The sequence below is a fragment of the Homo sapiens genome, chromosome 2, assembly GCF_000001405.40.
Source record: "Homo sapiens chromosome 2, GRCh38.p14 Primary Assembly".
Taxonomy (NCBI): Eukaryota; Metazoa; Chordata; class Mammalia; order Primates; family Hominidae; genus Homo; species Homo sapiens.
The window spans coordinates 236,363,459-236,378,282 of NC_000002.12; the positions used below are offsets into that span (position 1 = coordinate 236,363,459).

At 43.8% G+C, this 14,824-nt stretch overlaps 1 protein-coding gene across 10 annotated transcripts in view; it reads right to left on the reverse strand.

The window, feature by feature from the left end:
* The window catches only part of DRC11 (dynein regulatory complex subunit 11), a 200,792-nt gene that overhangs the window by 56,774 nt on the left and 129,194 nt on the right, over window positions 1-14,824 (reverse strand). For all 10 annotated transcript variants that reach the window (XR_007081589.1, NR_073043.2, NM_001270584.2 and 7 more), the window contains 3 exons: window positions 13,645-13,727; window positions 4,736-4,843; window positions 322-521 (listed from right to left, as the gene is read on the reverse strand). Coding sequence is in view for 8 of the 10 variants with exons in the window: in NM_001270584.2 (NP_001257513.1) it covers window positions 322-521; window positions 4,736-4,843; window positions 13,645-13,727 (391 nt within the window). In the remaining 2 variants the exon portion in view is untranslated. The remainder of the gene's footprint in view (window positions 1-321; window positions 522-4,735; window positions 4,844-13,644; window positions 13,728-14,824) is intronic.

The following is a 14,824-nucleotide window of genomic DNA, read 5'->3' on the forward strand; positions in this document are numbered from 1 at the left end:
GATGCCAATTATTACAGTGAGGTGGGCCGAGCAAAGAAATTGTGGGTTTAATTTTCAATGAGACATGAAAGCATTTCCAGAAGGGTTCCTGTGGCAGAGGGAGGGTGATTGGGATGGCACAGTAGGGTGCTTACGGAAAGAAAAAAGTTGTTTCTAATTGTGTGTGTTTGGCCATACGCAATAATGAAGTAATTTGCAGGAGTAGACAATGAGGAAATTTAAGACAGTCATGCTTGTCTGCCAATGGAAATTATCTGCAGGGTTTGAAAATGTAATTTGAAAGAGGGAGGAGAGTTGGAAACCAAGAAATGTAATCCATACCTTGAAGACTGCATGCAGCATCATTTGGAGGCCATTTTTGCCAGGGTATTTCCCAGCAATGTTAGAGGAGGACAAGTTGAAGAGGTTGGCTCCCGTTTCGGTGCAGATGGCATGGACCAGCATTTTCTTCCCTACCCCAGACGGCCCGGCTAACAGTAGCGATTTCACCAAAGGAGCTTTCTCATGCACTGCTGCAGAACCTAAAAAAGGCAGAGGCAAAGGTGCTAATGTTCTGCCAAGAAAATCAGTGGTTCTTCAACTAGGATAACTCAAGGTCAAAACTGCATCGTGTGACTCCACTTTCTGCAACAGTGATAAAGGCGTCCAAAGCATTTCAAACCAGAGACACGCCTCCATCCCAGCTGGCTCTGTGACACCTTTAATTTGTAGGTCAGGGCTCGTGGTAGAGCCATAGGGTCTCTGCGGGTCCTTAATACCCTTCTCCCCCTCTCCACATCAGTATTTCCCCTGAAATCATAATTTTAAAGAGCATTCCTGCAATAGCTTACCTCTGGCTTTTTTTTTTTTTTTTTGAGTGCTTTCTCTGCTTGTCGGCAGCAGCATTAAATTCTTTGAAAGCTTGGGAAGAGGAATGTGGAGACATAGACGATAAGGTTGACTAAGTGTTTATTTCCTTGCACCCCTCTTGCCTACCATTTAGTGATTCTTGTGAGATCAAGGGAGGATGGAGATGCAGGCAGCAGCAGCCTGAACTTCTTTCTCCTGCCCTGGTTTCTAGCTGTCAGTAGCGGCAGAGTTAACCTGACGCTTGATAATGAAGTGACTTGAATTACTGGAGTCATTCAGAGGTTCATGCCGTGTTCTCCACCACACTGTCAATTTCCTTAGTGCCCAGAAGGGGCCTCAGGTGTGGGTATTCTCCATTGCAGAGAACACAAGCAGAGCAGATATTGGGCACAAAGCAACTAAAAAGTGAACGGGATTAAATTCTGGAAAGTGCTGTGATCAAATCATTTACTATCATGTTAGTTTGCGTTCTGTCACTTAATGGGCTCTTTTTGATACTCTGTAAATGTCAGTATGATGATTATGCTTTTCTTTTTTCTTGTATAATTGAAAAGATACAGAAAATTTAAGTGATGATTAGACACCTAATTTTTATGGTTACCTACCATTCTCCACATAAACTTGGAAAATAGTTTTGAGCAAATTCTCTTTACCACGTAACTCAATGAGCATGCCTTTTTTGTGGTTAGTAGGGGCTGCGGCAATCTAATGGGATAAAGGAGAGACTCTTTTTCCACAACAGGAGAGAGATGCCATTCATTTGCCCTGCGTTGGACACCTGGGTATGGAAGGCTGCTCTGTGGTAGCCCTGGCTGGGAGCTAGTGTGGGGGTCCGTGGGAGTGGGGACTGTGGCGGGGAGTGACACAAATGTGGAAAAGACTCAGGATTTGCTGTGGAGAGTTCAGGCCAGGGGAGGAGCTGAACCTGAGTTGCCATAATGAGAACGGGAGGCAAGCAGTGAGAAGGTCCAGGAGAGCCACAGGGAGTTCAGAGAAGAAACTGCTCCCCGCGGAGGACTCAGGCTGGACTTCCAGGAGGAGGTGGCATCTGGGCCAGCCTCTGAGGAATGGGCAGAATGGTAGCATGCGGTGAGGGGGGTGTGTGGGCAGGCTTCATGTGGGGCCGGGAAGCCAGGCTGGCACAGGGAGGGGTGAGGAGCCAGCGGTCAGGGGCCCTGAAAGGTGGTCGGGGACTGCAGGTGCCAGGCGGGTGCTGGCTGAAGCCAGGGGGCCGGGAGAGGTTTCTGGGAGTGGTAGAGGAAGGAGAGAACAGTGCTGAGGACAGAGCCTTGGGTTGGGAGGGGGCAGCAGGAGGCAGAGGAGCAAGGGCAGGTGAGTGGACCCGGGAGAGTGTGTGGCAGTGACACAGGCAGTGGCCTTCCAGAGAAAGGGGGTGGTCACCAAGGTCACCCAGAGAGGTGAAAAGGTTGGTCCAGGGAGGCCTCTTCAACGGGGGCCTGGCTGACCTCAGGGAGGACAAAGGTGGACAGAGGGCCCAGGAGCTGACAGGACACACATGTGCCAGTGTCCACAGCTCTTCCTGCCCCTCTCGTAGAGTTACCAAGAGACACAGTATGGTTCCAGTTTTCGCACCTGAGCCCTGTTCAACTTTCCGAGAATTAAGAGATAACAAGGAGGCCAGTGTTCTCTGTCCTCAACCCAGTTTAGCCCCTTCCTAGCCCTGTGACTCCAAGGAAGTGCCCCTGCATCTTGGAACAGCTTACGAATCACTAAAAGCTGGACCACGTCCACCTGGAGGGGTCTGGCAGGAGATGAAACAGTGGACACGGTTTCTGCTCTGTGAGCATGCCCCCACCCTTCACTTCTCCCTGATCTCTACGTGGCAGTAATACCTCCAGGAGGGTGGGTGGATGCTGACCAGATACTTCCTGGGCTTCCTCTTCTCTAACAAGGTGGTTTCGGAGTCTAAGCCCTAGCCCCAGGCTGCAGCCGGTGTCTCCTGGCCAAGTATGTAAGCGGCCAGGAGATGTTCTCAAGGTCCTCTGCTGAGTGGCCAGGTTTTTAGTCTGGGCAGCCGCCACCATCAAGGTGATCTAAACAACTGGAGCCCCCAGACATTCCTTTTTATGACAGGATGTTATTTTAATGTATGAAATGTAAATCAGCCTCCCAAAAGCTTAACTGTGCACACAATTCATCTGCCTAACGTTTCTATGCATTCCAAACACTTGGCACACATGCCCTGTCATGAGAACAAATGCCCCAGCCAGCTCTGCTCTCCGGAGGACCTCATAGCCCTTTTGGACAGTAGGTTCCTCAGTGAGAAAGGGAGGGTGTGGGTGGGGTGCTTCCTGAGGGCCCTTCTGTGGTGTGTTCAAAGCCAGCTTGGAAACCACAGATACCACCTTGTATCCTTTGCAGCTGTGAAATACACCAACCTCATTAGGGAGGCGTTCCCTTCCAAACTTGTTGGCTCTTGGTTCTTTCTTTCTCTTTTATTCCCTCCCTCCCTCCCTCTCCCTCTCCCTCCCTCCTTCCTCCTCCTCTCTCTCTTTCTCTCTCTCTCTCTTTCTCTCTTTCTTTCGATGGAGTTTCACTCTTGTCGCCCAGGCTGGAGTGCAATGGCGTGATCCCGGGTTCCAGCAATTTTCCAGCCTCAGCCTCCTGAGTAGCTGGGATTACAGGCACCTGCCACCACACCCGGCTATTTTTTTTTTTTTTTTTTGTATTTTTAGCAGAGATGGGGTTTCACCATGTTGGCCAGGCTGCTCTCGAACTCGACCTCAGGTGATCTGCCCACACTGGCTTCCCAAAGTGCTGGGATTACATGCGTGAGCCACTATGCCTGGCTCACTGGTGCTTTCTGTCTTACTGCCTTCCATGATGCTTCATGGAAGTGTGAGGTCTCCTCTATTTTATTTCCATTGACACTTATACATTTATTCTGTTGACCACAAATTATGTTGCCCCTCAAATATGATATATTTGTTATATATAATATAAATTATGTGCTATTATATATTATATAAAACATATATATTATATATATATAAATGTATATTAACCCCAAATTCCATTTACTACTTCTGACATCAATTTAGAAGAGGAATTAACTATTTCTTGCCAATAGGCAAGTTCTGAAGTCTTAAGTTCTGAAGTCAAAGTGGAACAATAAGGGTTTGAACTACTCCCATCTCATTTTAAAGCAAATTAAAAACCCAGAAGGTGATTTCTATTTGAGAGTTGTTGTCAGAACTGAAACTCCTGGCTGGAGTTGCCATCCCTGCCCCTGGTGATTCAGGTCATACACATATCAAAGCCATAAAGAAAAAAAAAAAGAAAAAAGCGAACGTGAGCCGCAGATATCTGTGCTGTGGAGAGCCCATCTTTCCTGCATCGCCTGCACACCACAGAGCTCTAGTGTGTCTGTCTGAAAAAAGTCACAATTGAACCTCATTTAGCAGTGAGAGTAGACGTCGGTGAAAACTGGCAGGGCCTTAAAGGTGATCCTTTAGATCCATGAAACACACTTGCACTGACTCCTGAAAGGCTGCCTCTGTTTAGGACCTAGTAATAGGAGCCTGTGGGTAAAAGGCAAGTGGTAGCCCTAGCCCGTTCTCTAATTTGATTAATCGTAATTGCAGGTACTTGCTTTGCCTATTATCTCCCCAGCTCATTGCCTGTATGTCCTTCAGCCCAGCACTGCTAAGCAGGCACGCAGAGAGGGTGCAGAAGTGCTCTCCCTGGTAGTACTTTGTGTGCTGGTGGGTGCACTATCAAAATGAAACTGTGCCCACTCAGAATTCTCAGTAGGAAAAGTTAAGGAGCACTGTACTTTTGATGACAAACAGGAACACACTGTCCAAACCAGCAAGCGGTGCAAGCTGCTTTGGAAAAGGCACATCCGCGCACGCCGAGTCTTTACCTAATGGCCAGATTCCGTACAATGTGATGAGCTGTCTGACATCCAGGAGGGAGGGCATGGGTTCTATGGACACCTGGCGAAGAGTAGTCCCCAGGTAGCTGTACTCACCTGGAGAGAAAAGAAACAGAGGAACAATAAATGGAAAACAGCGCTGGTCTGAGCTGCATAATTTTGGCATCTGCAAAACGATCGGAGAATACAAATTGAACATTTCAGAGCAAAGAGAATCCTATTAGGAGAGTCATTATGAAGAACACATCTTTTCTCAGATAAAGGTTTGAAGAAAAGCTATCCAGGCAAGAAAGCCCTGCTCTACTAGCTAGAGTAAACTGGGAATGATGTTGACTATTATATTAGCCTCCTAATACTTTCTAAAACAACATTTGAATATAGAGTTATGTGAAATGGGACAAAGTGCTAAAAAGAAGGACACACAAAAAAGGCTGAAATATAGGGGGCTCTGCTTTATTTATATTCCAATAGATTATGTATAACATTTGTGCAAACTTTATAAATAAGTTATTTAAGATCGATGTAGAATTTGTATTGGAGCAGTGTAAATCTGAGTGTAAAATGCAGTCATTTGAAAGGAAGGGTATGAGTCTAATTTAGGATAAATAGAAACATCTCCTTTTGAGGGTAATATTCATTTACATTTTTATCATTTTTAAGAGAGTACCAAAGGAATAATGCAGAAATAAATCTTTACAGGTTTAATTAGAAGATATCAAAGGGCTTAATTGTAACTAGTCATAAATCTGAAGTGTTATTTTCTAACTAATTTAGATAAGGTCACCAAGAAAATTAGTTTGGCTGTCTCCATTTGTCATGAGGACGGACCTTTATAGGTTCATATGATTCTCTCTTGATCTGTATCTGAATCTGGAGTAAAAATATTCAATGAACGAATCACCATGTCTGGATTTTTTTCCCTGATGCTTTCTTCCTATAGCGAGTCCTGGTCCTGCAGAGCTTCGGATGCTACATGTGTACAGCAAGTACAATATGCACATTTATGTGTGTAGGAAACACTGAAAGTATCCCAAGCTTTTAAGTATTTTCAAATGCTAAGAAAATCAGAGTTAAAATTCAGACAGTGACCGCTGTTTTGTTGTGGGGCAGGGGGCAGCCTTTCAGAGCCTCCACATGAACAAAACGTCCTTGGCAAGGACAATGGGTATTGGTTGGGAGAATGAGTGATAATGAAAGCATCTATTATGGCTTCAGATACCACACTTTTTAATGAGCAGGTAATAAATAGAAGAGTGGTTAATTTAGCCTCCACTAGAATAGAAAGAGATCCTGTAACAACCGTTAAATCCAGCGCTCATTGCCAGTAAACATGACATTCAAGGTGACAGGAAAGTGACCCCAATTTTCCTGCTTATCTAAACCCATATTAATCTCCAGATGCACCATATTTTCTAGAACATAACAGATCTTGTTTAAACAAATTATATTCAGTTGAATTAGTGGGTGTTGGTTCTAACAGAGGCAAGGACACAAGTAGCCCCGGCTGCCTGCCAAGGTCTGAGACTCGCACTGAAAGCACATTCCTGTGTTTGCAGTGGCCCCACACAGAAGCCATGCCCCTTCCCATCCGTGCATTCGGAGCTCGGAAAGTCCAGCATTCCCGGCACAGACATCAGATCTTCCACAGGGGAGGGAAGAAGAAAGTGGCAGACGAAAAGGCATTTAGGATAGAGGGCGTGAAAATGCCAGGAAACCCAGATCAAGAGGGCAGAAAACCAAACAGCGGCTGCACGACAGGTGGAATCGAATCCCCTTGCAATTCTAAGTGGAAGTCCTAATCCCCAGCATCTCAGAACGCGACCTTATTTGGAAATAGGGTTGTCGCAGATAGATTTCATTAAGATGAGGTCATTAGAGTGGACCCTAAATCCAACAGGACTGGTGTCCTTATAAAAAAGGAGAAATTTGGACACAGAGACAGACATGCACAGAGGCAGAACACCACGTGAAGATAAAAGCAGAGAGGGAGGTGATGGTTTTACACCAAGCATCACCGAAGATCGCCAGCCACACGCCAGGGGCAGCTGAATGCCGTGCAGGTGCAGCCTGGGGTGCTCCATCCAGCCACTTGCTTAATGTTTACAGCGATTTAGTGAGGCATTTGCTGTAATTACCTCATCCCATAGTAGTGGAAACTGAGGCACAGAAAGAGTAAGTAAAGGCCTGGCATCTTGGAGGGAGGCAGCCTCAGAAAGACGAGAGGAAGGAGAGATTCCTTGAGCCTGGGAGGAGAGACCGGTCAGTGGTCCCTGAGCAGCGGGCATCCAGCCCCAGGCCCTGGAGGTCTGGGGGGCCTTCATGGGCACCGGCCCCCAGAATTTCTCTGCAGCACCCTGGTGCTTCCTGGGAACTGGGGGCCTTGAGGATACCTAGGGCAGGGGTGGGGACTGGCAAGAAGGACTGAGTTTAAATCACCTTGGTAGTATAGGGGTTGTGAAGCCAAATTAAAGTGATATAAAGAAAATAAGGAACTTGCTATTTCTTGCACACCTGAGATTGTGGCAGGTGCTTGCTGCTGGGCACAGGGCCAGTTCTGGAGCAGGGTGGCCATGCAGGGGTGCAGCAAGCAGTGGGGTGGGTGGTGGGGGTGGGCTGGTGGGAGCCGAGGGCTGGGCCTGGAGGAAGGTGTTGTCCCCAGCTCTGCAGTGCAGGCTTTGCATCCTCTGGCTCTGTTCCTCCCCTTGTCTCCTGTAGCTCTTATCTGCTGTGATTCTAATGACTGTTGAGATTCTAATGACTGTTGGGAGTTCAATGGTGTTGAGGACAGAGTGGGATTACAAATCTCAAGACTAAAAAAAGCAACTTCGTGTCCAGCGGCTGAGCACGCTGGATCTGTGCAGAGCATTCCTGGCCTGGTGGAGACATCCATCCGGGCAACCACATTCTGCGTCCGGGGATCCCTGCTCCTGCCCTGCCTGGATGAAGGGCTGGGGAGGAACAGCCCACATCCACCCTCTCTCATCTTCTAGAAGCAGGAGAAATAAACGGCTCTGGGCACTCAGGCTTTGCAGTGCTGGCCTCTGGAGCAACGGAATAGGCAACAGAGGAACCCTCTGGGCCATGCCTCTGTTGTCAAGGTGTTAAAAAGGAACCAAGATAATAAATTCAAAACCAGGGAACCCAAGGGTGAGTGAGGGTGCCTGGGTCCTCATCTCGTTAATGCTCTTCTTAGACAAGATGACGAGGCATGACTTATCTGGGTGCTGAGAGCAGTGTGCTTTCCAGAGGCAGGGGGGCATTCCCAAGCCCCCTGAGTTTATGTGATCAGGAAGAAGCTCCCAGCTGTGCAAGAGCCCAGTACCCCTAAGGTAGGAAGTCTGCAATGCCGTGTTGTCAGCGCACACCGCTCTTATGCATTGCACTCTCTCTCCTGAAGCCCTCACCTTGTCCTGGTTTTATGGGTATATAGAGAATGCTCACTACCAATCCTCGTGCCAAGGTGTCTCACGTCATTTTTGATTGTCAGTAGGTCATTCTTAGCAGATTCTTCAGGAAGGGCTCAGGGGGAAAACTGCTGAGTTCTTTCATGTTTATCAGTTTGTGTCCCATGTACTTGAAAATAAACTTGGCTGGGTACAAAATCCTAGGATCCTGCTTCCTTTCCCTGAGCATCTTATGTATGTCACTCCATTTACTTCTGGTGTAAAGCATTGCTGTGGAAAAGTCTGAGGGTAATCTAATTTTCTTTCCTTTCCAAGTCATATGATCTCTTTTACACAGATACCCAAAGGCACTTTTATTAGAATGTCTTCTTGATCAATCTGAGTCAATATTCTCAGATAGACAGTGTGGTCTTTCGTTATGTGGTTTTAATGTTTTTTAAACGTCTAAACCCTTTTCCCGTTTGCCCTGAGAATACTTGCCAGAGGTGCTTTCGACCGCAGCATTTACCCCAAGATAACTTTGCCACGAAATATCTCGTTTTTATTATTATTTTTGCAGAGCTCTAGTATACTGACTTCAGAAACAAAAGACATCATTCTATCTATAGCATTCTGTTTTCACTAGTGGTATTTCCATTTAGGAAATATAGTAATTCTTGATTGCCGAAAAATATCAAATCCTAGGAAACGTAGCATTCCTATGCATGATCTTGACATCGTTTTCCAGTGGTTGTTGGCTGAAGATTCATTTGATGAATCTGATTTTTTCTGAAATAGACAATTCTGATGATTCAGAAGATTCTGATATTAGTTCTGTTTAGAAATAACTCCAAGAACAGTTTTTGTATTTTATTTTCACATTGAAAATCAGTCAGATTTGCTTCAGCCTCAAAGAACACGTTTACTTAAAGTTAAATGATCATTAGCAGCGAGCTGCACTTTTTTTTTCCTAAACAGGAAAAGGCCTAAAAGAAATGTTCATGAATTAAAATTATATATATTTATAAAATTAAAATTTGAGACAAGGTCCTGCTCTTTCACCCAGGCTGGAATGCAGTGGTGTGATCTTGACTCACTGCAACCTTGAATTCCTAGGCTCAAGCGCTCCTCCTGCCTCAGCCTGCTAAGTAGCTGGGACTACAGGTGTGTGTCACCATGCCTAGCTACTTTTTATTTTTTATTTTGTAGAAAAAGGGTCTTGCTATGTTGCTAGGCTGATCTCAAATACTTGGTCTCAAGAGATCCTCCTGCCTCCGCCTCCCAGAGTGCTGAGATTACACGTGTGAGCCACTGTGGCCGGCCAAAATTCTTTGCATTTTTTCTGTTCCTTTGCTTTGATTTTCTTCTTTAGGGACTCGTATTATCTGTATGTTGGATTTTCTTTGTCTGTCGTCAATATTTGATATGCTCTTTGAATTCTTTTAATATCCTTAATTTCTAATTTTACTTTAAAAATTTGCCTTTTTGCCTTTTATTTCTAAAGCATTACTATTTTTATTTGCTCTTGTATTCATTATAATTTATTTTTTTCTAAAACATTTTCCCCTTTATTTATATTTATTGAGATTTGTCACCTCATTTCTGGGTTTTACTCTTTCTATTTTATGCTGTTCTCACACGTCTTCTATAATTCTTTAATGTATATTAACTTTTTTTTTTTTTTTTGCGACGGAGTCCCGCTCTGACCCCCAGGCTGCAGTGCATTGGCACAATCTTGGCTCACGCAACCTCCCTGGCTTCAAGCGATTCTCCTGCCTCAACCTCCTGAGTAGCTGGGATTACAGGTGTGTGCCATCACACCTGGCTAACTTTTGTAATTTTTGCAGAGATGGTGTTCCTCCATGTTGGCCAGGCTGGTCTGGAACTCCTGACCTCCAATGATCCGCCCACCTCAGTCTCCCAAAGTGCTGGAACTACAGGCATGAACCACCGCGCTTGACCTCTTACTGTATATTAACCTGTTTTGAAATAGGTTTCAGTATAGACCTGCTTTGTGGAGATGTCTTTTTGGGAAGTTAATGTTTTCTTATTCTTTTTTTCTTATGATAATTTTGCATGGGCATTGACCTTGAACTTTTCCATTGCTCAAATTTATATGAGTGAATAGTCCAATACTTTTAGAAGGAAGTGTGGCGCAGGATAGCTTTTCCAGTTTCACAGAGCTCCCTCCTCTGTCGTCTTTATAGATGTTAAAAATGCGGTGGTTTGCTTTCTGAGATGTTCTGGCTCTGGTCCCCTCCCCTAATTTCTTCTGGGCCTTCTCTATGCTTCATCTTTACTTTTCCCATCCTGTTCAATTTTGATTTAATTCCCAAGAGTTTCTTTGTAGTATGGGCCCTGTGGAGGAAGGCACTGGGGTGGGTCACCGCCCCAGCTCCTTCACACTTTCTTATTCCGGTCCTTTACACTCATCTGCTATTGAGGTGGGCCAAACCCCTCCTAGTTTCAGCTTTGATTCTTACCTGGCCCACTGCACATTACCTGGCCCATTGCTCTCTGGTTATTTTGGGGTCTCCTGTTCTCAGGTCCTTTGGTGTCCCTAAAGCTTGTACTTTGGGGCTCAATGGGGAAAATTTGTCATTTAGTTTTGGTGCAAGTGTTGCCTGGGGGGTTTTGGTCTTGTTTTCTAGTTGCTCTATTTTACTATGTGGGGATTTGGGAAGATACACTGCCATCTTTCAAGCTAAGGACCTTAACTGGGAAAAAATGAAAATATGGACAGGGGAAAAAATGAAAATATGGACAAGGTCAAAGTGTGCCAGATTTTGGTGGATATTTGACTACTTTGGTTAGATTGAGTCATTTTCACTTAGAGTCTGTATGAATTTGTTCTTGAATTGCTATAAAGAAATACCCAAGACTGGGTAATTTATAAATAAAAGAGGTTTAATTGGCTCACGGTTCCGCAGGTTATACAGGAAGCATGATGCTGGCATCTGCTCAGCTTCTGGGGAGGCCTCAGGAAACTTACAATCATGACACAAGGCAAAGGCGGAGCAAGATGTCTCACATTGTGAGAACGAAAGCAAGAGAGAGGAAAGGGGGAGATGCTACACACTTTTATTTTTATGTTTTTATTTGTATTATTATTATTTTTTGAGATGGTGTTTCGCTCTTGTTGCCCAGGCTGGAGTGCAATGGCGTGACCTTGGCTCACTGCAACCTCCACCTCCCGGGTTCAAGCGATTCTCCTGCCTCAGCCTCCTGAGTAACTGGGATTACAGGCGCGTGCCACCATGCCTGGCTAATTTTTTTTTTTTTTTTTTTTTTTAGTAGAGATGGGGTTTCTCCATGTTGGCCAGGCTGGTCTCAAACTCTTGACCTCAGGTGATCCGTCCACCTTGGCCTCCCAAAGTGCTGGGATTACAGGTGTGAGCCACCGTGTCCAGCCTGCTACACACTTTAAAATGACCAGATCTCGTGAGAACTCACTACCATGAGGAAAGTCCCAAGGAGGATGGTACTAAACCGTTCATGAGAAACTGCCCCCATGATCCGCTCACCTCCCACAAGGCCCCGTCTCCAGTACTGGGGATTATAATTCTACATGAGGTTTGGTGGGCGCACAGATCTAAACCACATCAAAGTCACTCTTAAACGGCTGACTCCACCCACTTTGATCTTAGGCATCTTAAAGATGCTTCCTGGAAATTGACAGATCATTGAAAAAGTTCAGAAGGGATGAGAAATTAATAATTAGTTGAGAAGTCAGTCCGCACATAGGTAATGAGAATCTACCACGTGCCAGGCACTGTACTCGGCACTAGGATCTTTTGTTCAGAAATCCAAACCATAAATAAGAGACAGTTCTGTTAAAAACAGCCATTTTAAAATATTAACAGAATTAACAAAACAGAATCAAGGTACAGGAGAAAATTCTCCAGCACTTGAAGAAGAAACACAGAAAGTAAAATAAATAGAAACCCAAAACATATCTTAATAAATATTCCAGCAAAATTCTTATGCTATTAGGAAATGTGAGGGCTCCTTTAAGCCCTCAAGAAGAAAACAAGGCTGTCTTGCAAAGGGATTAAAATAACCACCCTTTGATCAAAGGAGAATGCCAGCCTTCTTGCCCTCACAGACCAAAATTGGGTCAATGTAAATACCAGGATGGATAATGATAGGGACAGACGATAATACATTGAATAAAAAAAGAATCCATGTGTCTACACTGATAACGCAATTTTAAAAGATTCCACACTTCCTCACAGAAGAATGATATCTATTCAATGTAGAAGGAATGATAGAAAAATCTCCACTTTTACAACTGCTACAGCAATAACTGATGCAGATACAAAATCATCAGTGGGTGCTAAAACGCTGCCTGAGAGGCTGCTGGGAACAGAATCTCCACAGCCTCAAAATATCACCCCTTGGATTGATTGTTCATTAATTATAAAGGGAAAGATGATGCTTTACAGTGGAGAAATCCCGGGAACAGCACCTAAGCCACAGGATTAAACTTAACCTCACCACTGATGGGACAAAGTGGCATTAAGTGCCCCCAGTGGGAAACACTGACAGGGAGACACCATCATTTTCCTGTCAAAATGTTTAACCTGAATCGAATAATGAGAAAACCATGACACACATTCAATTGAGAGACAGTCTGTGCACAGCTCAGACTCTTCAAAAATGTCAGTGTTGTGAAAGATGGCGGAAGGCTGGGAAACTGTTCCTGACGGAAGGAATTACGGGAGACAGAAGAGACACAACAATCACTTGCACCATCCTTGGCTGGATTTTGGATGGAGAAAGACAAGTATTTATACAGGACATTATCAGGACAATTGGGAAAGCTGAAGGTTCACTGTATATTAGGTAACAGTATTGCATTTGATTTTCTGAGTGATTTTCCTTCTGTGGTTATGTAGGAGAATGTTGTCATTCATTGGGGGTAATTTCTTCATAAAAGTAAAACTAATAACTGCATTACGGTAGTACAGTTATGAGGAATTTTAAGCTTTAAGTGTGTTTTCAGGTCATCATGGTGTTTTTTAAAAATTTAGAGAAAACCATTAGGTGAGGCTGTGATAACAAATGTCCCCACCTCATTCCTCCCCAATATTTGTGTCTCTATTGGAAGGTATCTTTTGGAAAGAATTCCTCCAGTAAGGATTCTGTTGTGGAGGCCTTAGGTGCTGCCCCAGGTGCATTTTTTACAAGTGAAATCATTAACAATTCCCCATTTCCTTAAATCAGATTATGCCAGAAAGAATGCACCAAGGAACCTTGCTAGTAGGTTAAAAACCTGCTTCTATTACGTTAGGGGAGAGAGCTGCAACCATTTTATTAAGAGAATCTGTTAGTCCACAGCATCCTCTTAGGTTATTTGAATCAATTCAATCCAACAAACATTTACCAGGAGCCACCATCGGCCAGGTTTTGGCTTGAACAAAAATGTAAATAAAACATATTTCCGGCTGCTGGGATTTCAAAACACAAGAGGTGACACGTGACACATACATGTATTATTCTCTGTGTACTCACCAATGTAATCAGAGAGGTTGACTTTCAGAGCCTGGATCAGTAATCCTTCTTCCACCAGTTCCTTATACAGAGACTCGATGGTCCTGGGGAGAAAGCAGAGTGTCTGTTCCAGAGGCACACACACAGAAATCGGCGGTATTTCTGTTAATGATCACATACGCGGAGAACTTAAACCAGATCTATTTCAAAGTACATTTGTTCATATGCAAATAAAAGGATTTTTGAAGTGTTTCTACAATTTGGGGATAAATTAGGCTTTTTAAAAACAATACTTTCACTCATCCATGTGTGTATCTGATGTTTCCCATTAATAAGAACGATATCTTTGGGCGTCTGGGACCAGCTCTAACTCCTGCAGTCTGCCCTTCCATCAGTCTTCATGATGGCACAAATATGAATTAGAAATTACCCAATAATAGTAATGCAATGGACCTATAATTATATATTCGGCTAGCATCTTCAAGCTGTAGTACATCATTAATCCTTTGTGAAATTTATGTTTCCTTTTAACCCAATTGCACAATTGTTTGAAAGAAACATCTACAAAGAACAAAGACTTATACTGAAGATAATTCTTATATGGAAGATAAAACGTCTAAAGCAATGAGGGTGATGATTTTTTAGGAGGGTGTTATACTTTACAGAGTGTTTACAGATGTCAAAACCACTTCTCTAAAAGGACCTTGAGCATATAGCCAGCACATTGGTAATTTATACTAATTGAGAAAAAAATGGACATAGTATCCCACATAACGGATGAAACTCCCAATGATACTTGCTGGGGTTTGGCTTGCAGAAATTAGATAGGTTAAACTCAAATATTATTCAGTATAATCCTTCGAGATGTTTTGTCTTTTCCTCTTCTTTATTCTCCCATCCTACTCTGGTCTTTCTCTAAGTTGAGAATTGTAAATACAACTTTATTTAGACAGTTCTTCTGACTGTCCTGTGATCCAAGTTAGTGTGATTAAAAGATACCCAAGAATATCAGTTAGACCCAAGCCAAATACTATTCGGGGAAATGTTAATCCAATGACCCTAGTCTTTGGATGACTGGAGTTGTATTGCATCAAACATTTAAAGTAGTATGCCCTCTGCTGAAAGTTAAGAAATATTTAATTTAGTGGAATTTAGGATAGCAATATTTGACCCATATATATCAAGGAAGTATCAACTGTAG